Source organism: Homo sapiens, chromosome 11 (genome assembly GCF_000001405.40).
Source record: "Homo sapiens chromosome 11, GRCh38.p14 Primary Assembly".
NCBI classification, from domain to species: domain Eukaryota; kingdom Metazoa; phylum Chordata; class Mammalia; order Primates; family Hominidae; genus Homo; species Homo sapiens.
Window position 1 is genome coordinate 17,391,763 of NC_000011.10, and position 21,023 is coordinate 17,412,785.

At 52.8% G+C, this 21,023-nt stretch overlaps 1 protein-coding gene across 6 annotated transcripts in view, besides 1 other annotated feature; it reads right to left on the reverse strand.

Annotated features, from left to right (window-relative positions):
• Positions 736-21,023, reverse strand: part of ABCC8 (ATP binding cassette subfamily C member 8) — an 84,348-nt gene continuing 64,060 nt past the window's right edge. For 3 of the 6 annotated variants that reach the window (NM_001351297.2, NM_001351296.2, NM_001351295.2), the window contains exons 21-39: positions 20,904-20,984; positions 18,754-18,891; positions 16,630-16,755; positions 15,592-15,691; positions 15,126-15,367; positions 14,860-15,026; positions 13,732-13,801; positions 12,750-12,907; positions 10,899-10,991; positions 6,577-6,679; positions 5,922-6,035; positions 5,431-5,551; positions 5,154-5,284; positions 4,090-4,168; positions 3,848-3,956; positions 3,410-3,513; positions 2,504-2,637; positions 1,935-1,997; positions 736-1,366 (exon numbers count right to left, since the gene is read on the reverse strand). In NM_001351297.2, the coding sequence (NP_001338226.1) occupies positions 1,229-1,366; positions 1,935-1,997; positions 2,504-2,637; positions 3,410-3,513; positions 3,848-3,956; positions 4,090-4,168; positions 5,154-5,284; positions 5,431-5,551; positions 5,922-6,035; positions 6,577-6,679; positions 10,899-10,991; positions 12,750-12,907; positions 13,732-13,801; positions 14,860-15,026; positions 15,126-15,367; positions 15,592-15,691; positions 16,630-16,755; positions 18,754-18,891; positions 20,904-20,984 (2,271 nt within the window). In that variant the 3' untranslated portion in view covers positions 736-1,228. Of the gene's footprint in view, positions 1,367-1,934; positions 1,998-2,503; positions 2,638-3,409; positions 3,514-3,847; positions 3,957-4,089; positions 4,169-5,153; positions 5,552-5,921; positions 6,036-6,576; positions 6,680-10,898; positions 10,992-12,749; positions 12,908-13,731; positions 13,802-14,859; positions 15,027-15,125; positions 15,448-15,591; positions 15,692-16,629; positions 16,756-18,753; positions 18,892-20,903; positions 20,985-21,023 lie in introns of all 6 variants that reach the window. The other 3 variants (NM_000352.6, NM_001287174.3, NR_147094.2) reach the window with 2 other exon arrangements.
• Positions 13,880-14,174: a silencer, noted in NCBI's record as "tiled region #5134; K562 Repressive DNase matched - State 8:EnhW". NCBI's record gives its function as "represses a minimal TATA promoter and a strong SV40 promoter by Sharpr-MPRA in K562 cells {active_cell/tissue: K562}" and the evidence as "EXISTENCE:reporter gene assay evidence [ECO:0000049][PMID:27701403]".

Consider the following 21,023-nt stretch of genomic DNA (forward strand, 5'->3'; position numbering starts at 1 on the left):
TCCCTGGTGTCTGGGCTCCAGCGTCTCCCAGACACCACCTGGCTGACCTGTGACTCATGCACTGTGCTTTCCCTCTGAAGGACCACCTTTCCACTTCTGAATGCCCCTGCTTGAGGGATGGAGATGGAGACATGATCCAGGCCTAGCCAGCCAGTGTATGCCACCCCTCTGATCACAGTGGGGTGGGGATGGGAATGTGATCCAAGTTGGTGCATTGAGATTTGCTCCCAAGCTTTTGCTGGAACTATTGGGAAGGAGTATCTGTTTTGCCTCTTGGGTTGCCTTGGGGCAGGATGTAAGCTGGACCTGCTAGTGGCCATCTGTCATAATGAAAGGGGAGGAAAATGGAACCCAGAAAGGAAGACACATCCCAGATGGATGTCAAACACCTGGGTCCAGCCATGCTTGAAGTAGTATACCTCTTAGCCTTGTCAGTCACATATTCAATAAATTCAGTTTCTGCTTAGGTTACTTTGAATTGGGTTCCTGTCATTTGCAATTGAAATAGTGTTAATCCAGATTTTAATTCAAGAATGAAAGTGAGAAGAAAGGAGACCAAGCTGTATGGAGATCTGTTACCTTATCTGATAAGCTCATTGCAGAAATGCTATCACCCTTGCTATGGACATAATTGTGTCCTGCCAAATTCACAGGTTGAAGCCTAATCCTACAATGTAACTGTATTTGGAAACAGGGCCTGTGAGGAGATAATTAAGGTTTAATGAGGTAATAGGGGTGGGGCCCTAATCCAATATGACTGGTGTCCTTTTAAGACACAGAGAGAAAGCAGGGATGCATGTGCACAGAGTAAAGGTCATGTGAGCACACAGCCAGAAGGCAGCCCTCTGCAAGCCAAGGAGAGAGGCCTCAGGAGAAACCAAACCTGCCAACACCTTGATCCCAGACTTCAGCCTCCAGAACTGTGAGAAAAAAGTCTGTTTTAAAGCCACCCAGTCTGTGATATGTTGTTGTGGCAGCCTGGCTGACTAATAGAGGCCTCATTTCACAGGTAAGGAAGCAGGCTTTTGCTCACACAGCTTCTGCCTGATGTCAGAGCCAGGCTGGTTCTACTGAACCCACCATCCACCGCCAGCCCCTGCCCACCAGACTTAGGGCCTCTAGTAGGAAATAATCAAATCTATTTATTTACAAGTGATTTACAGTTAGAAAACCCAGGCAGGGGTATGGGCAGGGTCCGAATGTGGGATGGCACTTGGGCTCTGGCAGGTCACTTGTCTGCACGGACGAAGGAGGCGAAGACGCTGTCCTTCCGGCTGAGCAGCTTCTCTGGCTTATCGAACTCAAGGATGGCACCCCGCTTCAGGACGATCACCAGGTCTGCACTCAGGATGGTGTGCACTCGATGCTGGGCAGGGCAGGAGGGGGCGGGTCAGGATGGTGGGAATACCACCCGCGGTGGGGGCCACAGCTGAGGGTGGCCCTCCTGCGGCTTGGAGGAGGAGGATGAGGCATGTGGCCAGAATGTCCTGTCACTGTGGGGACTGCACTTTCCTGGGGTGGATGTGACTACAAGCTCTCCATCTGCTAATACCACCCTTCTCTCCTCTCCAAGTCCCAACTCTACCCCACCTCCAGGCTTCAAGGCTCAGAGACCCTCCACAACCCCTCCCCCACTTCCTATGGAGAAGTAACGCCAGCCTAACATATAAGGCCTTGGGACAGGGGCAGGCCTTGGAACCTGGAGAAGGAGAGGGGAGGTCTGAGGGAAGCACAGGGGCAAAACCCCCCACCCCAAATCCTGCAACCCAGGCTCCCTGCATGCCCTCCAGGCCCCTTGCCCTGAACTGCCTGCTTCAGGGTTCTTTCTTGATTACTGGGACCAGGCAAGCCCAGGGGCTGTGCACTGATGACGGCCACAACAGGCCAGTCCTGTCCCTGGGTGTCCCTCTGCACCCCATCAATGGGCCCCTTACCGCGATGGTGACCACAGTGCGGTCTGCGAAGGCTGTCATCACCACCTTTTGGAGGATGTTTTCCTGCCAAGTGGGGGCAACAGCTGTTGGCTCACCTGCCCAGTGGATGGGGTCTGGCCTGGCTTGGGGGATGTGGAGCCCAGGTCTGTGGCTCAGCTCCCATCTGACCCCGATCCTAGTCCCACCCCCACCCCACAGGACTGAACAGGTTCCCGGCACTCAGGGACTGGACTCAGCCTGTTGGGAGCTCAGCTCTGTGTGTGTATGTAGGTTGTGGTTGTGGCTGTGTGTGTGCTGTTGTGATAGGTGACAGTGTGAAGTCTGTGTGGGTCTGTGTGTGCAGCTTATGTGTGTGTTTGCATAGTGTTTTTGTGTGTGCGTGTGTGTGTGTAACATTCCCTAAGACTAGACAGAGTCAGGGTCCCCCCAGCTCTTTTCATTTTCTGCAACACATAGCATTTGATGTTAGAGGCAACTTGAGCCTCAGGACTACTTCGTGCAAATTTCTCCCTAGCATCCCACTAAACCCTTTCCAAGACCATGGTCCCATGGAGGGGCCCAGGACCAACCGTGGCCATGTCAATGGAAGCCGTGGCCTCGTCCATGATGAAGATGCTGGTCTTCCTCACGAAGGCCCGGGCCAGGCAGAACAGCTGCCTCTGTCCCTGGCTGAAATTCTCCCCGCCTTCTGTGATGATGGCATCTGAAAACAGCCCGGGGAGATGAAGTAGGACTGAGTTAATCTTGTGCTGTGAGTGGAGCAGATGGGATGGCTTGGGGGGCTGTTGGAAAATGTGTGCATGGGGGCAAATAGGTGGGTGTGTGTCCAAGAGCACAGGCGTGTGCAGGGCTGGTGCACCTGACACAACAATGTGGAGGCCGTCTGCAAGGACTGCAACGAGAAGGGCACCCCTGGAGGTGTGTGCTGCTGTGGCCCTGGGCAGTTCTGGGAGGGGGCGTGTGCACTGAGGGGTGCACTGAGTGTGTATGTAGGGCCTTGGTAGGGTGATTCATTGAAACCAAGGCTTGGCCACCCCCAATGCTCCAGGAGCTGCAGCAAATATACCAAGGCTTTGCCAATCACCGGTGGCCTTGATGAGTGACCCGTGTCTATGATTGCCCAGTCCATCTTCTCCTCCCCTAAGGCAGAACTGGGCATGCAGGTGGATGGGGCAGGGCAGGGCTGAAGATGCCCCCTTGGCATGGGGGACTCGCAATCTCTGTCTCACAAGGATCCCTGACTGTACCCGCTGTACCCTGCAGGAGGAGCCAGACCCTGAACTGACCAGTTGTGTGACCTGGGGCAAGACACCTGACCTCTCTGGGCCCCCGTATAGTGAGAAGTAGGACTAAATGGTCCTGCCAGGCTTCAGACTCCAAACTTGGGGCAAACCTGAGACACGGGCTTCTGTCTGCCATCCTTACAGGGTCCTTGAGTGCCCAACCAACCCAGCTGCATAGCCAGGAGTAGTTACCGAGGCCTCCTGGCAGTGCCTTCACCACCAGCTTCAGCTGGGCGATTTCCAGGGCCTCCCACAGTGTGCTATCTGAGCACTTCCTCTCAGGGTCCAGGTTAAATCTGGAAGTGGCACAGAAAGCCCCAGTAGGGAGGGAGCAGGGTCCTGCCTGCATCCCCAGGCGGCAAAGAGGGCAGTGAGCGAGAGCAGACTGAGTTGGAGGTCTGGCTGGGAGAAGCACCGAGGTGGTGGCAGTGGGTGGGGGACAGCATCTTAGACCCATGGGTGGGGGATCCCCTTCCAGAGGCTGCCTGGGCCTGATGGGATGGAGAAGGGCATGAGCAGGAAACACCTCTGGGATCCTGGTCTCCCCCAACCCCCTCCTCTTTGTGCTCCAGATCTGATGGAACTGAGCCGGCCTGGGGCTGGGTGGGCCTGAGGGGTGGTGGGGCTCACCGGATGGTGCCGCTGAAGAGGACGGGGTCCTGCAGGATGATGGAGAGGCGTGAGCGCAGGGTGTGCAGCGGCAGTTTGGCGATGTCAATGCCATCAATGATGATGTGCCCTGCATGGGTCCCAGTGAGGGTGCAGGGGAAGGCGGTGACTGCTGGGCCTCCTGTCATGTCTGACCACGTGCCAGGGCTGAGGCCTCATCTGGTGGCTGTGGGTACACGTGGGGTGCCCGCCTTACAACTCACCTTCGAACGTGTCCACCATGCGGAAGAAGGCAAGAGAGAAGGAGGACTTCCCACTGCCGGTGCGGCCGCAGATCCCGATCTGGAAAGAGAGAAGCAGGCACCGCCACTGGGACTCTGGGGCTGCTGGGAATAGCCTCTATGCTAGCTCTGGGTGTGTGTGCAGGTGTGGGAGGTCACAGGGTATCTTTTTGGCCTGGTTTTCTGACTAGTTTCTCTTTGGACACCACAGGTTTGGGCTTGTTTCCTGCAGTGGGTCCAGAGAGGGCTTACACAGGGACCGGCACGCAAGTGCAGGCATGGATGTCCATTTGCCTGGGCCTTGGTGTGGGTCTGGGTGTGCCGGGTACTTGGCTGAAGGAGAGCTGGGGGGCAGTGGTGTGTCTCTATGGGCATGGGTGTGGCAGGAGGACACAGGGGCAGCTGAGAGTGGTATGCATGGATGTGTCTGTGTGCCCCGCCCTACAATGGAGCCACCTCTGATCCCGTTGCTTCCTGGCACTTGGGTACCAACAGAAATTACAATACGGAGACAGATAGTGACATAGAAGGATGAGAGAGGCAGGGACAGAGGTACATCCCAAGGTCAGAGAATGACATGGACAGCCACAGCAAAGTGAGACAGAGACAAAGAGACAGAGTGGGAAACGAGAGGAGAGCTGGGCCAGGGCCATAGGCAGGGGCTCACCCTCAATACAAGGGTGGCCTCGCTGTCTGCCCCCAGGTCCCTGCCCTGAAGCTCGGGGCAGTGCCCTAGGGAAAGCCCCTGACCATTCGCAGAGAGGGAGGCCCTGACAAAGCCCGTGTGAGCTGGGGGAGTCCAGAGTGTCGGTCTCCTTGGTGGATGAGTGAGAAGACAAGGCCTGAGGGCAGCACTGGGGGAAGGCAATAGAAGGAGAGGAAAGATGGGCCCCCACAGGCCCAGGGCAGGAGACTGCGATGTCTGAATAGTGAGAGGCCTCGGCCCTGGAGGGCCACGAGGTGACTGCGAAGCCATCCAGCTCCGTGCATGCCCCATCCCCTGCTCACGCCTGTCCTGCAGCATTGGGTTGGGCCCGTGCTCTGACCTTCTGTCCAGGGGCGATGAGGGCATTGACGTGCTTCAGCACCGGCTTCAGGGAGCTGTCGTAGCGCACGCTCAGGTTCTGGATCTGGATCTTCCCTTGGTCTGGCCAGTTCTTTGGGATCAGCGATGGTGCTGGGGGCCGGGCTGGGCTCAGCCACCAGGCATGGGCCACAGCTAGTATCCGAAAGTGCCACCCCATCCCCAGGCTCCCTTGTGGCCCCCAACCCAGACACACTCCTCCTTGGACTCTTCCCCACCCCTCTCCCTGAGCCTCTCACCCAGGAGCCCCTCGTAGCTCTCTGCCTCGGTTTTCAGGAGCCCATGGATGCGCTTCACAGCCCCCAGCTGGAGCTCCATGTCTGCCAGGTTCCTCACCATCCAGTTGAGGTAGTTGGAGACCTGTGGGGAGCAAGCCAGTGGCGCACACTCCATGGTCGCTTAGTTCTGTCCTCAGCCACCAGAATGGCTCTTCTTAAGGCTGGAGAGGGGCCAGGGCCCCAGATTCCTTTTGCTGCCATCCACTGCCTGCTCAGAGCAGCCCTCCCTGGAGGCACAGGGAGGGTCAGTCATGTGGCTCCCCAACCTCCACCTGTCTGGGGCCTGGGCCCTGGGGCCTGCTGGTCAGCCTTCCTGCCCGCACTGTCCCTCTGGCATCAGATGCAAATGAAATTGGGGTAAGGCCTGGGAGTGTCTCATGTCTCCAGTGACGAAGGTGCTCCGGGAGTGCTGGTGTCTGACCCCTCCTCTGCCCTAGCCCACTGCCGCTCACCATTAGGGCGTAGGTAAGGCCCAGGCCCACCAGGCCAGCAGAGAGCTCCCTGTGCAGGGAGTTGGAGATGGAGGTCACCGCTGCGATGAGCACCACACATGCACCGATGTACTCCTGGGGAGGGAGAGGAGCTGACCTGGGCGCTCAGGGGTTAGAGCCACAGGCCCCTGTTCTACCTCACTCCTTTTCGGGGCAGAGAGCAGCTCAGCCAGGCCTCCACTCCAGCCCTGCAACTCATGCACACGTCACCAGACACACACAAGGGCTGCGAAGGCTGGAGCCCCAGGAGCCAACATGTCCCACAAGCTCATGCTCCCCTACCCCCTAGCCCCTGCACACCCTTTAACATGCACGCCTCAGCTGGCCCACAAACACACACAATGTGGGTGTCATATGACCCACTGCAGATACACATTCACCACAACTGTTCTTGCCACTGGCACACACCTCAGATACACAAGCCTCCAGGCAGTGATATGGGGAAAAGGAGCACAGGCTAGACACTAGGAGGACCACCAGGGCTGGGGGAAGCAGGAAGGCTTGGTGTCCACACGATCTGGTATCCTATCCTCTCTTTCATCCCCAGGTACCTGTGTGCTCTTGCTCTGGCCCCACCCTCCTATCAGAGGCCAGGGTAGAGGGGAATAGCACTTGCCATTCGGACTTCCAGCCATCTGTTGGCAGCTGTGAGGAAGAGGGAAGCAATGTTGTTGGAGTCTGTGTATTCGAGAAGCTTCTGCTGGAACCGGGCCTCATACCTGGAGGGAGGATGAGAAGCTCCTAAGGGAACAGTGTTGGTCCACATAGCTCCTAGGAGTCTCCCTACCTGCAGAGGGAGGCTCCAGGGCCCCTCCAGTCCCCAGACATGCCACCGTGGCCACTTCATGTAAGCTATCCCTCTCTGGAATGTCCACCCCACTCCTTTCTGCTTATTCAAACCTGTCCAGAATCCCCACCTCCTCCAAACTCTTGTTTTCACCCCAAGATCCATTTTCTCTAGGTCTTTCCCATTATAATAAGGGGCACCTCCCTTTACCCAGTTTCTCACCCAGGAATCACCTGGATTCACATTCAGCCCCTTGGCAAGTCCTCTTATGTCTCTCTCTAAAAGAGTCCTTGCCTCCCTCCCCCTCTATCCTGCTTCCTGCCCACCACAAACTCTCACCTGGACTACTGCATCAGCTTCCTGAATACGTCTACCTGCTGTCTCCCTACAGTCCATGCTCCACACAGTGGCTGGCTTAATCTATCTAAATCGCAAACTGTGTCCTCTCCCCCACTGTTTAGAATATTAATGATCTCCGGCCGGATGCGGTGACTCACCCCTGTAATCCCAGCACTTTGGGAGGCTGAGGCGGGCGGATCACCTGAGGTCAAGAGTTCAAGACCAGCCTGGCCAACATGGTGGAATTCTGTCTCTACTAATAATACAAAAATTAGTAGCTGGGCATGGTGGTGCACACCTGTAATCCCAGCTACTTGGGAGGCTGAGGAAGCCAGGATAATTGCTTGAACCCGGGAGGTGGAGGTTGCAGTGAGCCAAGATCACCTCACTGCACTCCAGCCTGGGTGACAAAGTGAGACTCTGCCTCAAAAAAAAAAAAAAAAAAAAAAAAAAAAACAAATAAAAAAGAATATTAATGACCTTCCACTGCTTATAGGATGAAGAACCCCCTCCTGCCAACCTAATTCCTGCCACAAACACCCCACACACTATGCTGCAGCCACTCAGCTTTTTAAAAGCTCTGTGACAATACTAAAGTCTTCCCTACCCCAGGGCCTTTGCACACACTATTCCCTTTTCCTGGAAGGCTTTTGCCCTTGCTCTTCATAAGGCTGGCTCAACTCAACCTTCAGGGCTTGCCTTAAATGCTGCCTCCTCAGAGAGGCTCTTCCTGGCTACTACCTTACTATAAAGTAGGTTTCCCCTATTATTGTCTGCAACCTGTTTGCTCCACAGTATCTGCTGTACATGCATTTCTCTAGCTATTTATAATCATCTCCCTCAATAGACTGCAAATTCCATGAAGATGTTTTATTCACCAATATACCCCAGCACCTGGCACTATCAATAAATATTTGTTGGATGAATGCATGGCACTCCCCTGACCCTCTGAAATTGATGGAATCTCTCTGCACAGGGAACTCTGGAGGCTTCTTTCTCATCCTTAGGTCCTCATCATGTTTTCCCTGAGTTACTGCGCATGGACCTGCCTCCTTTCTCTGATCAACCTGGGCTGCCGTCATCACTCTCCTTGGCCGCTTCCCTCAGACCTTGCTGACGTAGGCCCGGCCCAGAGGAGATGCAGGAGCACTTGTTTGATGATGGAGGAAGGAACGAAAGAAAAGCTGCCTCATCATCGCTGGTTTGATAGGACCAAACTCAGGGGACACGGAGGCACCCAAGACGTACCTTACTGGGCATTTGCTTTTCACCCTGGAAGGTGTTAGTTCAGCTTTGATTGTCTCTGCGTGGAGAGAGGGCATGTGTCTGAGGGGACTGAAGGGAGGTTCTGAGGTGGGAGAGAGCATGCTACTGCACACCCCCAGGGTGGAGACGTGTGGGAGGGTGACGTGTCTGCAGTGAGTGTGAAACCATGCCTGAAGGGTAGAGTAAGTGCGTGTTGAAAATGTGTGTGCATCAGGGCATGTGCGTGTTATAGGAGTGTGAGGCGCTCAGCGTATGTGGGTCTCAGGACTGTGTGAGTTGAGGGTCGGCAAGTGTGAGATGGGAGCTTCTGCCACAGGCGTGCGACAGTGTGTCTGAGGACTAGAAAAGAGCCCCAGCCTCGGAGCCATGTAAACCCAGGTTGGAGCCTGAACATCACAACTTCCTGGCTGTGTATCAGGACTGAGACTCAGTTTTCTTATGAAAAAAATGGGGAAGTGATAGTTCCTACATGAACGAAAACAACCTCCGAGCCCGCCACTGAGCCCAGTGCTGGGCACTCTTGAAACTCTTTTGGGAAAAAATAAGATCTCTTAGGAAAGCCCAGAAGGTCAGGCAAACCTGGGTTCCAAGCTCAGCGCCAGCCCCCGCAGTCTGTGTGACCTTGGATTGATTACCCAGCCTCTCTGGGTCTCGCTTCTGCATCTGGAGAATGTGGCGATTCGTACCTATGTTATGTGGTCCTTGTGAGGATTAAATGTAATAATGCACATACAACACTTAGCACGGTGCCTGGCATACAGTAAGTGGGCAATCAATAAGTGCTAATAGCTCTCAACAGGCTGCTGGATTAAAGCCAATGCATTAAATGTGTATGGGGTTGATTAAAAAGCCTTTCATTCAAATTTAAAAATCATTCACCGTGTCAGTAGGGTGTGGAAGACCTCACTGGGTAGCAGTGGCTCTGGCTGACCACAGGTTTGGCCTGATCTGAGGCTGTTTACAGGAAGCTGGGATCTGCACACAAGGGGCTGTGGCCCACTCTAGAAGAGTCACCATCTCTCTACCCCAGGGCCCTCTGAGACACCAATTGAGAGAGGGAAATCACCAAAACTTAGAGCAAAGGCTAGGCTCAGTAATGTCGAGGGACCTGGAAGTTGAAGGAACGGGAGAAGTTCAGGCTTGAGAAGAGGAGGCTGGGAGGAGACTCTAGAGTCATAATCCAGTCCCCAGCAAGCTTCTTTGTGGAAGACACAGCATAGGCTTGTCCAGGGGCAAGGGATGTCCAGGGAGCAGCGCCAAGGCCAGGGCAGAGCTTTGCTCTGCTCTTCTTTACTTAGACAAGATCCCTAAGAGGTGGATTTCCACTGGCCCTAGGTGCTCCAGGGTGGGCAGAGGGGCCTGGATACCTCTCCAGGGCTGAAGCTGGACTTCAGGGGTTGGGGGGAGGAGATGTAAGCCTCTCTGGCCCTTGGCTGGTCCTTGTGCCCTATGGTTACTCCTGGACACAGTGCTTGGTGTCTCATGGTTACTGTCATACTTCGTGCAGCTGTGCCACCCTAAAAATAACCTATTATCACTCTCTGGATGAAGATGAGAAAAGAGCCCAACTTTGTGTGTCAGGGGTCTCTGGCCTGCCTGACTGGAAGAGAGATGCCTCTGGAGATCAGACAGACTCTTGGGGAGTGGGAAACAACAGCTTCCCTCATTCCCCAGGCAACCTCAGATGCTCCTGTCCACCCCAACATCACCACTCAGGGTAGTGAGACGATGGCAGGGGCACTGAAGTTTTCAGGAATTCCTCAGCCTGGTGAACTCCTGCCCCTCCTTTGAGTCCTAGTTCTGATGACACCTCTGGTACAAAAACCTTCCCGGACTGTCTCTCTTCTATGCTCCCACAGCCCTTGAATCCGCTTTTTTCAGAATACTTGTCACGTGGATTTATCCTGGCCTGCTCAAAGTCTGGGCTGTAAACGCCTGCAGGGCAGCGGCTTATTTGACTCATCTTTTTAGTGCCTGGCATGGGGCTTAGCACATAGTCGGGGCTTAGTAAATGTTTGTTGCATGAACAAATAGGTTCAAGTCTGGGCTTTGTGGCACCTTACACAGAGAGGTTATAGAACGTCTCTGTGCCTCAGTTTCCTTGTCTGTGCAATGGAAATGACCATTCTCAGCACCGAGGGTTGCAGTGCAGAATGAGTGGGATTGGCCTGTACAGTACTCAGCATAGTGTTTGGCACACAGGGGCTCCTTAATAAAAGAAGGGCTTAGGGTGGCCCGCACCTAAGGCCCTTTCTAGCGTTGATACATGAAGACTTGTCCCAGCTTTGTCTCTTTTCATGCTCTGCCTCACAGAGGTCCTGGGCTTGTCTACAGAGCTGGAATTTTCCTCTCTAGAACATTCAGTGGGAGCCCACCTGGCCTGTCCCTGCTGGTGGATATCCCTTGGGCCTTGGGACCTGAGGCAGCTTGAGAGAGAACGTGTCCTTGGCCTTCCCAAGTGGAGTCCTGAGAATCAAATCTCATGGCCTGTGCCCCCTGGCCCCACCCCTGTTCCACTCCTACCTTGGGGGAATGTGGACTCGTACCTGAAGGCCCGGATGGTGGTGAGTCCTTCTACGGTTTCGGCAAAGTGTGAGAGAAGTGGAAGCTGGGTGGTGTCATCCAGCTGCTGCAGGTCCCTGTGGCGGGGAACAGAGTGGAACAGTTAAGAGGGCAGGCTCAGGGCTCGGCCTGGGCCTGAAGCCTAGCTCCACCTGCTACCGCTGTGTGGGTGAATGGCCTTACCTCTCTAGGCCTCAGCTTCTTACCCCGTGAAGGGGGAAGACAATGCCACCAGCCCATTGAGCTTTTGTGAGCACTGAATGAGATCGTTTATGTACAATGCTTAGACACAGCCTGATGTGGGGCACAATTACTGCTGTCCTGGGCATTGTCAACCCCAGGTCGCCATCTGTCCCTGTACTTCTGCTGCACAGCCTGGAGCTGAGCTAAGGCTGGGCAGGCAGTGCTAGTTCCATTTTACAGGTGAACAATCTGAACCTTGAGACAGCTGGCCAAAGGAACAGAAGACCAAACTCAAAGCGTTCAACCCCGTCTTCCGCTTACCCCATCAAGGAGCTCTTTAGACCCTGGCCAGTGATGTGCTGAAATGATAGGTTTCGTCTCGGGGTAAGGCCAGAGGTTTCCATGGCAACAGAATTGCCTCCTGCTCCCCAAAGCTGCACCTCGACAAGCACATCAGTGCCAGGGAGGCCAGTTTGGGATGCAGGAAGTTGATTTCCCTGATAAACCATCTCCAGGGTCAGACTGGGTGCCACAGAGACTGGGCTGTTTCTCTGGCAGAAGAAATGAACTTTGTAGAACAGCTTGTGCAGCACTTTGAATTTTTTGAGTGTCAAAAAGCTATGTTGTTCGTGTGGGTGTCGGGCCATTCTGGATCATCCAAGCAAAAAGCCATTTATACAAATGTTGATCCTTTGGGGCAGGTAATTGTGTCCAAAATGCATCTAAATTTTATTATTGCTAATAAGTATCTCAACTCTAGTTTCTAGCCAACTATGTGCACTTGGGAAAGGTACTTAACCTTTCTGACCACAACCTGCAGTCAGAAATATATTTTATCTCACAAATCAGTACTCACACACCTCCATGACCAACACAAAGGTTTCATGAAGCAAAGCTTGCTTTACTCTATGAATACAGTCTGATGTTTTTTTCATTTTTAAAAAAATGCTGGTTGTGATCCATGATATTGATTTCATGACCCACTGATGGGCTGTAATTGGCAGTTTGAGAAACACTGGCCTAGACGTTCTTTAAATTTTTTCCTACAATTTTTTGAATCTATGAGTTTCTATGAATCTGGGAGAATCACTCCCAGAAAGAACTCCCTAGAGAACATTCTTAGAAAATTTTGAGGAGGAAAGAGGCGTGCATGGATCCAAAGCTCATGAGGGCAAATGTGATCCATGAGAATGGCTGTGAGAGGCTCCCTCAAGTCAAGGCTTACAGCTACACTCTGGACTCACGTGGGCTGGGAGGTGTTATCATAACACTGCTTGAATCAGGTGCCCGCCGATTTCATGCATCAGCAATCAGCCTGACCACTAGAATGATGCAACCCTCCTGGGAAGCATGTTGGCAAAATGAATGAAGGGCATAAAATGTGCATTTATCATGACCTAGCAATTCCAGTCCTGACCATATCGCCCAAGGAAATAATTCAGATGTCAACCTCAGTGTGTGCGTGTGTTGGCAGACTATTATATTAGGGCGGTGGAATAAGATGTGGATATTTCTATTTCCTTCATTTCTGTTTTTTGTTTTTATTTTTTGGAGGGAACACGACCCTATTACTCTCATAACGATGAGTCTAGCAAGTACACCAAACTGCACATTGCAAAGCACCTCCCACCCCTCACCCCTGAGGCCATCACCTGGACGCCACCCGGAAGTACTTCTGGATGAAGTAGCACACGATGGCCAGGGGCAAGAGGGCCACGAGGAACACAGGTGTGACATAGGAGATGACGGCCAGGGCTGAGACACAGAGCAGGGTGGAGCGGCTCAGGCACTCCAGCGTGGATGGGATGTGCTGAGGGAGACGAGGGGGAGAGAGTGAGGTGAATTTTGGTATTGACTGTGTTTAGAGTGCTACTGGCCGCCATGTTTTGCTCTCACTTTATTTTTTGATCCTTTATTTTTTTGAGACTGAGTCTCACTGTTGCCCAGACTTGAGTGCAGCAGCGTAATCTCGGTTCACGGCAGCCTCTGCCCCTTGGGTTCAAATGATTCTCCTGCCTCAGCTTCCCAAGTAGTTGGGATTACAGGCACCTGCCACCACACCTGGCTAATTTTTGTATTTTTAATAGAGAAGGGGTTTCATCATGTTGGCCATCAGGCTGGTCTTGAACACCTGGCCTCAAGTGATCCGCCTGCCTCCGCCTCCCAAAGTGCTGGGGTTACAGGAGTGAGCCACTGAGCCCGGCCTTGCTCTCCCTTTATTATAGGCACGTATCTCATCTCTCCAGCTACAAGGTAAACTCCCTGAGGTAGGAATCAAGATTTTGTTTTCACACCATCTGGTACAATGGTAAATAAAGAACACAGGCTGAATCAAAATGAATATTCTCCATACAATCAGCCACCTTGGTTCAGAATATGCTGGAACTTTACTAGAGAAAGCCAGTGGGATCTCAGGTGGAAGCTAAAGGGATCTGGTTTCCCTCAGCCTTACTGTGAGGCTCCCACGAGGGAGGCCCCAGCCCTGAAGCAGCATTATAATCGGATCGGGGACACTGGCTTCTTCCCAGAGGGCTGTGATCACCTGATCTGGGGAACCCAGCCTCAGACAGGAGAAGCCCCCAGGGGTCCGAGGTGTCTCTGGAAGGGGGGATAGTGTGGCACGGTCCTCTGTACCTGGTCGATGGTGTTACAGTCAGATGAAAATCTGTTCAGGATGCTCCCAAGGGGCGTGGTCTCAAAAAACCTAAGAGGCAGCCAGAGGAAGAGTTACTCATTTGTCCATTGATTTACTTCCTGTTTACTGAATGAGATAGTTAATTATTTCATGTAAGTGTCTCTGGAGTCATTCATGGGTCTGGCATCCTCTGCCAATTTGTAGACATCTGGCCTGTATCCCCGTGAATTCCTGCAGCTGCCCAAAGGGGCGCTGGCCTTTCGTTAGCCTTTCAGTTTCTCAAGCCCATCTGACGACTGCCGCCTTTCTCAGCTGCCGGCTCGGCCTGACTCAGCAGCTGTCCTCCTGGGACACAGAGTCCTCTCCAGAGGGACAACCTGCCAAGAGGAACAGGGCCCTGGGGACAGCCTGCCGGCTGGCTGACCCAGAGTCAGCCCAACCCCAACCAGGGAGTTTCAGAACTACAGAGCTGGGGCAAATAGAGAGTAAAAGTAAATAAACTTGGAGGCCATATCTGTGGGCCACAGAAAACTCATGAGGCTGGAAAGTAAAAAGTGCAGTTAGATTGTGAGGTCTAGCCTCGACAAGGGGCCAGAAAATCTGTTTGCCTGTTGTGTTTTTAAGCCAAGTTGGCCAACCAATTGGGCAGGGACAACTTTAAACCTCTTTGACATCAAGTGGCCTTTGAGATTTTTATCCATCCCATTACAGGAAATTATTAATAGAACAGCTACCTGTTCCCCCAGTGTCAAAACCTGAGGCTGGCTGAGGGAGAGAGAGTGAGGGGAGGGCAGGGAGCTGAACTCATGGGTGGGGATGGGCAAATTACACCCACTTAGGGAGGAGAAAACAATCTTTACTTGGATGTGCAGACGCTCACTTTAAAGGGCCATGGTAACAATTAAATGAGCTAACCACACACAATGCCTATCACAGTATCTGGCTGAGTAAATGCCAGTTTCTCCCTGCTTCTTGCACAAGGAGGGCACTTTTACACACACTGTCTCCTTGAGTCACCCCCACAAGCTTGTGACAGGTTGTATATCCCCATTTTATAGATGGGAAGACTAAGGCTCAGAGAACAGTGACTTGCTCACAGTCCCAGCCTGGCCAGGGGAGACGGGTACCTCATGGGGGCTAGGATGATCCGGTTTAGCAGGCTGCGGTGCAGTCTCTTGGCCACCTTCAGCCCTGTCCACTCCACAGTGACAGACGTGACGAGGCACAGCACAATGCCCAGGCTGCAGAGCACCGTGAACACCATGGCATAGACAGTCTGGTCGAGGGTGCACTCCTTCACAGGCAGAGAGTGATTTGGAGTTCCAGGGTGCCCATGGGCTCAGCCCTTCCCCCATCCCCACTCCCAACCTCTGCCATGGGCCGCCAGTCACACCTGGCTGAGGGAGCAGTTCCTGGCTGCAGGGGTCAGGGTCAGGGCGCTGTCGGTCCACTTGGCCAGCCAGTAGTCGATGGCCACCAGGACCATGTGCTTGAGCAGCTGTGAGAAGACCAGCAACGACAGGAGCAGGATGCCGGCGGAGGACAGGTACTTGGCGCAGGCTCGCCATGGGATCTCAGCACGCTGGTGCAGCATGGACGACAGGTTGTCATCCTCCTCGCTCTCAGCTGCCTCCTCTGCAGGCCGCAAGAACCCACTCTGTGGCTACACATTTCCATCCCTCTGAGGGTGAATCAGGGCATTTTATCCCCACTTACTGAGGGGACAACGGGGGCACACAGAGGGAAGCCATTTAATCAAAGGCACACTACTGCACCACACCCAGAACCCCAAACCTTAGCCTCTCTGTGGCTGATCAGACCTCAGGCCATAATTTCACTCCCAGTCCCATTGCCTGTACCTTCCTCCTCTTCCTCATCCTGCAGAAGGCCATCCCTCGAGGACATGGCACGAGATAGGCCCTGGGGTGGCTCTGTGGCTTTTCTCTCTGTGACAGTCTCCTAAAAGACAGATGTGGCCTGGGCAATGTCTTCAGGATATATGGTTGGTGGGGGAAGGGGAAGTTAAGGGGTAACTACTCTGGTGATGACCAATGTCAGATTTCTACTTTGTCCCTGCCTGAGGGAGGGGCAGACAGACACACATTCATCTTGCCAGGATTTAGTCCTTCCCCTTCATCAGATAATAGCACCCCCATATCCCTGTGGGGAACCACTCTTCCCCTGTTTTTAGTCTCTGTGATTCAGGTGGATCTGGCTCCCAAAGTGGCACGTGACCCAGGACAGGCCAATCCTCACATTCCACACCGCTGGCCACAGTGATTTGTTCAGGGGTGGGCACATGACCAAACTGGACCAGTGAGACTCAGCCCTGGGACTTTTGCTGAACTATGGGGAAAGAGGCACTTTTTTTCTGGCAGAGTTGTTGAGCTGGGAGAATGTAAACCTAAGACTGCTGGTGGCCCTCACTGATACCATGAGAATGGAGCCAATTTGAGGGGAGCTGAGCCAATTTGAGGGGAGCAGAGTCAAGAGATGGGAGAAACAGATTTCTGATTACACTGACTACCTGGATCCAGCACACTTAAAGCTATGACACACCTGGACTTTTTGGTTTCATGGGTCAATAAATCCTTAATTCCCTCTTGTTTTCTTTGCTTAGTTTTCTTTGCCAGTTTGAGTTGATTTTCTGAAACTTTGCAACTAAATAGTATCTGACTACCTCAGGATAAGGCGAAGGTGCCCACCTGATTCTGCCCTGGGCACCTGGCACAGGTACTGTCTCTCCTCTGGTAGGAGCCAGTTCATGCCCAGCTCCCACATCTGCCCTTTAGGGGGCTTCCTGGGGCACTAAGGACAGGAAGACCTTTATGAGTTCAGGTTCTAGCAGAACCTTTGCATCCAGGGGTGGCTGCTTGGCCATCCCTGGATATACCCACCTTCTCCAGCTCTTGGTCCTGTCGGTTCATGAGGGTCTTCCAGTGCTCAAAGAGCTGGCATTCAGACCTCTGGAAGTCCTTGAGGGTACCCTCCCTCTGGATGGTGCCATCCTTCATGGCAATGATCTGGAAAGGCAGCAACAAACGTGGTTTGGGGGCTGGCTGGGGAGGAATGGTGGTCACATCCCTCAATTGTGGAGTCTAAGATGGAGGTTGACACATCCCTTTCCTCACTACAAATGGCCACCAGCTCATCCACTGCAAGTGGGCTGGTATTGATAACCTACCCCAACCAACATACTCCTAGGACCTAGAGTTCGGTACATCTGAGGCGTATTTCTCAATGGCTGGGTTTGCAGAGCAAATTAGTGCATCCTGCTCAAGCTGGCTGGTTACTCACAAGGACTCCACCCACGGCAGCGGCCGTCATACACTAAGTGGGCTCATTGTACACTACCCTTAGCTCCTCTTGACGGCGGGTCTGGCAGCCTCCATCAGGGCTTAGCAAAGCACCTGCTGGTCTAAGTGTGTGTGGCCATGCCTCTTTGGAATCAATAAATCTTTTTTTTTTTTTTTTTTTGAGACAGGGTCTCACTCTGTTGCCTAGGCTGGGGTGCAATGGCACCATCTCAGCTCACTGCAATCTCTGCTTCCTGGCTCAAGCCATCCTCCTGCCTCAGCCTCCTGAGTAGCTGGGACCACAGGTGCACGCCACCATACCTGGCTAATTTTTTTTTTTTTTTTTATAGAGATAGGGTTTCACCATGTTGCCCCAAGCTGGTCTCGAACTCCTGGGCTCAAGCAATCCACCCGCCTTGGCCTCCCAAGGTGCTGGGATTACAGGCATTAGCCACCGCGCCCGGCTCAATAAAACTTTTTATCTGGAACACTTGATGACACCATCACGTAGACCTGACATTAATTCAGACACCCACCCCTGCTGCCCTCACCCCCTCCCGCCCTATGCTGGGGTTCAAGGGGCTCGAGAGTCCTGATCACTGATTCCTCAAGGAAGCCAGCACTTCTGTGTTCCTCAGGATTGTCCTGAACTACAAGGTATTGCCAAGGTCACTACAGAAACTCAGAAACAAACCTTCTGTATCTGTATATATATTTAAATCTTTAGGTCTTTGGGTCTTATCTTTGGGCCTTTTTTCTTTGGGTGATTTTCTTTGGGTCTTCTTTATACTGGAGGGGGTCTCATCATACATGGAAGGAAGATTTATTTTGGGGAAAATAAGCAGAGCCATTTGGCACCAGCCTGAAGCTCAAAGAGGGCCTCAATTTTGGCTGTTGTTTAGAGGAGAATTTATATAGGAGTAGGCAAGACCTAGAGTTCAAAATTACATGATCTCCATCTTAAAAATTAAGTGCTTTCTAATGAATCAAAAAGTAATTATTTTCTACCTACTGAAGAGTATGGAAATTTAGTTAATGAGGGGTTTCACAACATTGGACTCTACTGATAATATTGAAGTTTCTTTCTTTCTTTCTTTCCTTTTTCAAATTTTCAGAGACAAGGCTCTGTCGCCCAGGCTGTAGTGGAGTGCAGTGGCATGATCATGGTTCACAGCAGCCTTAAACTTCTGGGCTCAAGTGATCCTCTTGTCCTGGCCTCCCAAAGTGCTGGGATTACAGGTGTGAGCCCCTGCGCCCAGCCTGAAGTTTCTATTACTACTGCTATTGTTTGGTTCCATATTTCCCATATGATTCCCGGGGTGGTGCATCCATCCACCCCGGGAAGGTCATAGGGTGGGAAGAGGGCTTTTCCATCCAAATGGGCACTCCCCATGACTGCGGGGATGGGTCATCAAAAGGGCAGGAATCAGAAGGTGAGAAGTGAGCACTTGATTATTCCTGAGACTTCTTGGTGCCAGCCTTGAGTGTACCATGGGGGGCCCGGGCCAGGATGGGGAGTGTCTGTGGGTCTAGGTGATACCAAACCCCTGGCCTGTACAGGGTCTCCCTGAAATGCCCAGCATGCATAAAGCCATCCAGTGCTGGTCTCTTATGCTTTGTGGCCCTCAGCAGTTGCTACCAAGACAACGGATTGGTTCCTGCCAAGATGCCTGACAGCCTCCCCAGCCCTGCCCCCTATAGCCTGACCCCCTTGTTCCCCCTCACCCAGTCTGCATGGGGCAGGTACTGTAGCTTGTGGGTCACTAAGACCACTGTCCTCTTGTCGTCCCGGAGCAGCTCAAGGATGCCGGCCTGCATTAAGTGGTCACTCAGATGGATATCCAGAGCTGAGAAGGGGTCATCCTGGGCAGAAGGGAGAGGAAGAGAGTAGAGGGTAGGGAAAGGCATGGTGGGGAGGGGTGACAATGAGTATAAAACCCATTAGAGTTCTATCAACTCTGCTCTAGGGACTGAAGCTAGTTAGCTGTGTGGCTTTGGACAACTCACCCAACCTCTCTGGGCCTTGGTTACCTCATTTAAAATGGGGCAGTTGTCAGATATCACTCTCAAACAGATCTAATCACTTCACTGCCTGACTCCTGGACCTTCAACGGCTCCCCATCATCTCTAAAGTCAAACCCTGTGGGCTGGTGTTCCAGGTGCTTTATAACCTCTCGCTTTCCCTTCTAGACTCATGCTTCATCTGTGCTTTCCCAGCACTCTGCATTCCAGGTTCCCAGGAAGCCTGCCGTCTGGGCCTTCTCCTGAGCTGTTCCTCTGCCTGGAGTGCTGCTCTGCCTTTTGTCTGCCTTGTGAACTCCCACCCATCCTTCGCTCACCTAAGCACCAGTTCCTCCTGCATCCTGTCCTGACCCCCACGCCTACCCTTCCTTCCTCCCTATTCCCGTGACACTGGCGCAAAGCCAGATCTGATCATTGTTTGTCCATTCCTGATTATGGCACTCCCAAGAACTGAGACTTCTTGTGCCTGTGCCTGGCACAGAGTAGACGCTTCATAAACGTTTAGTGCCTGGCACAGAGTAGACGCTTCATAAACGTTTACTGAAATAAAATGTCCACTTCACTTTTCTCTAGCAGGGTTGTTTAAATCTCATGAGAGATCGCGAATGCACCCATGCTTTGTAAAACGCTGTGTGTGTGTCAGACGGTAACGGAGACTGAATCTTCCCACTGTGAAGTGTCTTTAGTAAAGGAGTGCTTGTGCGTGTGGTGTAGGGAGAGGGGAGGGAATAAAGCTGGAATCAGAGACTTGAGCTTCCTTCTTCCAACTCACTGTGCAAATGGCCTCCCTCTTTCCTTCTGTTTAATTGACTCTCCCTTTGAGGCTCTCCTCCAGGAAGCCCTCCCTGATTACTCCAGCCCTCACAGTTGTCTCCCTGGACAAGGCCCCCTCATAGTTTATGCCGCACAGTTTGGATTTGAACCGGGCTGGGCCTCTTGAACTGGGTGAGCTCTGTCTCCCTAATCAGATTCTAAATCTTTGAGGCCAAGGACTGGTTCTTAGAATTCTTCAGTGTCAGTCAAGGCACCTGACACAACAGAACTTGACATGAAGTAGTGTAAGGATTGCGAATACGTTCTTTTTTTTTTTTTTTTTTTTGAGACAAAGTCTCGGTTTGTCCCCAGGCTGGAGTGCAGTGGTGCGATCTCGGCTCGCTGCAAGCTCCGCCTCCCGGGTTCACGCCATTCTCCTGCCTCAGCCTCCGGAGTAGCTGGGACTACAGGCGCCCGCCACCGCACCCAGCTAATTTTTTGTATTTTTAGTAGAGACGGGGTTTCACCGTGTTGGCCAGGATGGTCTCGATCTCCCGACCTCGTGATCCGCCTGCCTCGGCCTCCCAAAGTGCTGGAATAACAGGCGTGAGCCACCGCGCCTGGCCTAGTTTTATCTCATGTTTGATGGCTAGTGGTTACCTGGAGTGCTGTGTTGAGAAGGATTCTGAGGATGAGTTAAGTTCCATGGGAAATAATGCTGTGAACAATTAGCAATGTCTGCACTGGGCATAAGATGGGAAGTGGCAGCACACATTCTGTTATCAGCCATTCTTATAGTCGGGCTGCATAAGTGTTGAGGGGTTGGGCTGTCCCACAGACAGGCAGCCTATAACTACAGCTTGCCTCTCCTCATTGGCTACTGCAGAGCTCCATCTGAAGTCTGCAATGGGTCATTTGTGCTATCCTTGCCTGCCTCAGTTTCCCTATCACTAGGATGATAAGGCAATATCTCTGGCAGGAGGGATTTACTCCTGGAGAGGGAGATTGTTGGATGATGGTGGGGTTGCGGGGAGGTGGAGGTGGGCAGTTAGGCCTGGGAGGCAGCCAGAGACCAGGACCCCAAGGGAACTTGCACTCACCAAGAAGACAACGTTGGCGTGCTGGTAGAGGGCTCGGGCCACACTGATTCGCTGGCGTTGACCACCAGACAGGTTGATGCCCTGTCACCAAAGAGGAGGAACACATCATGCCCTCAGCCA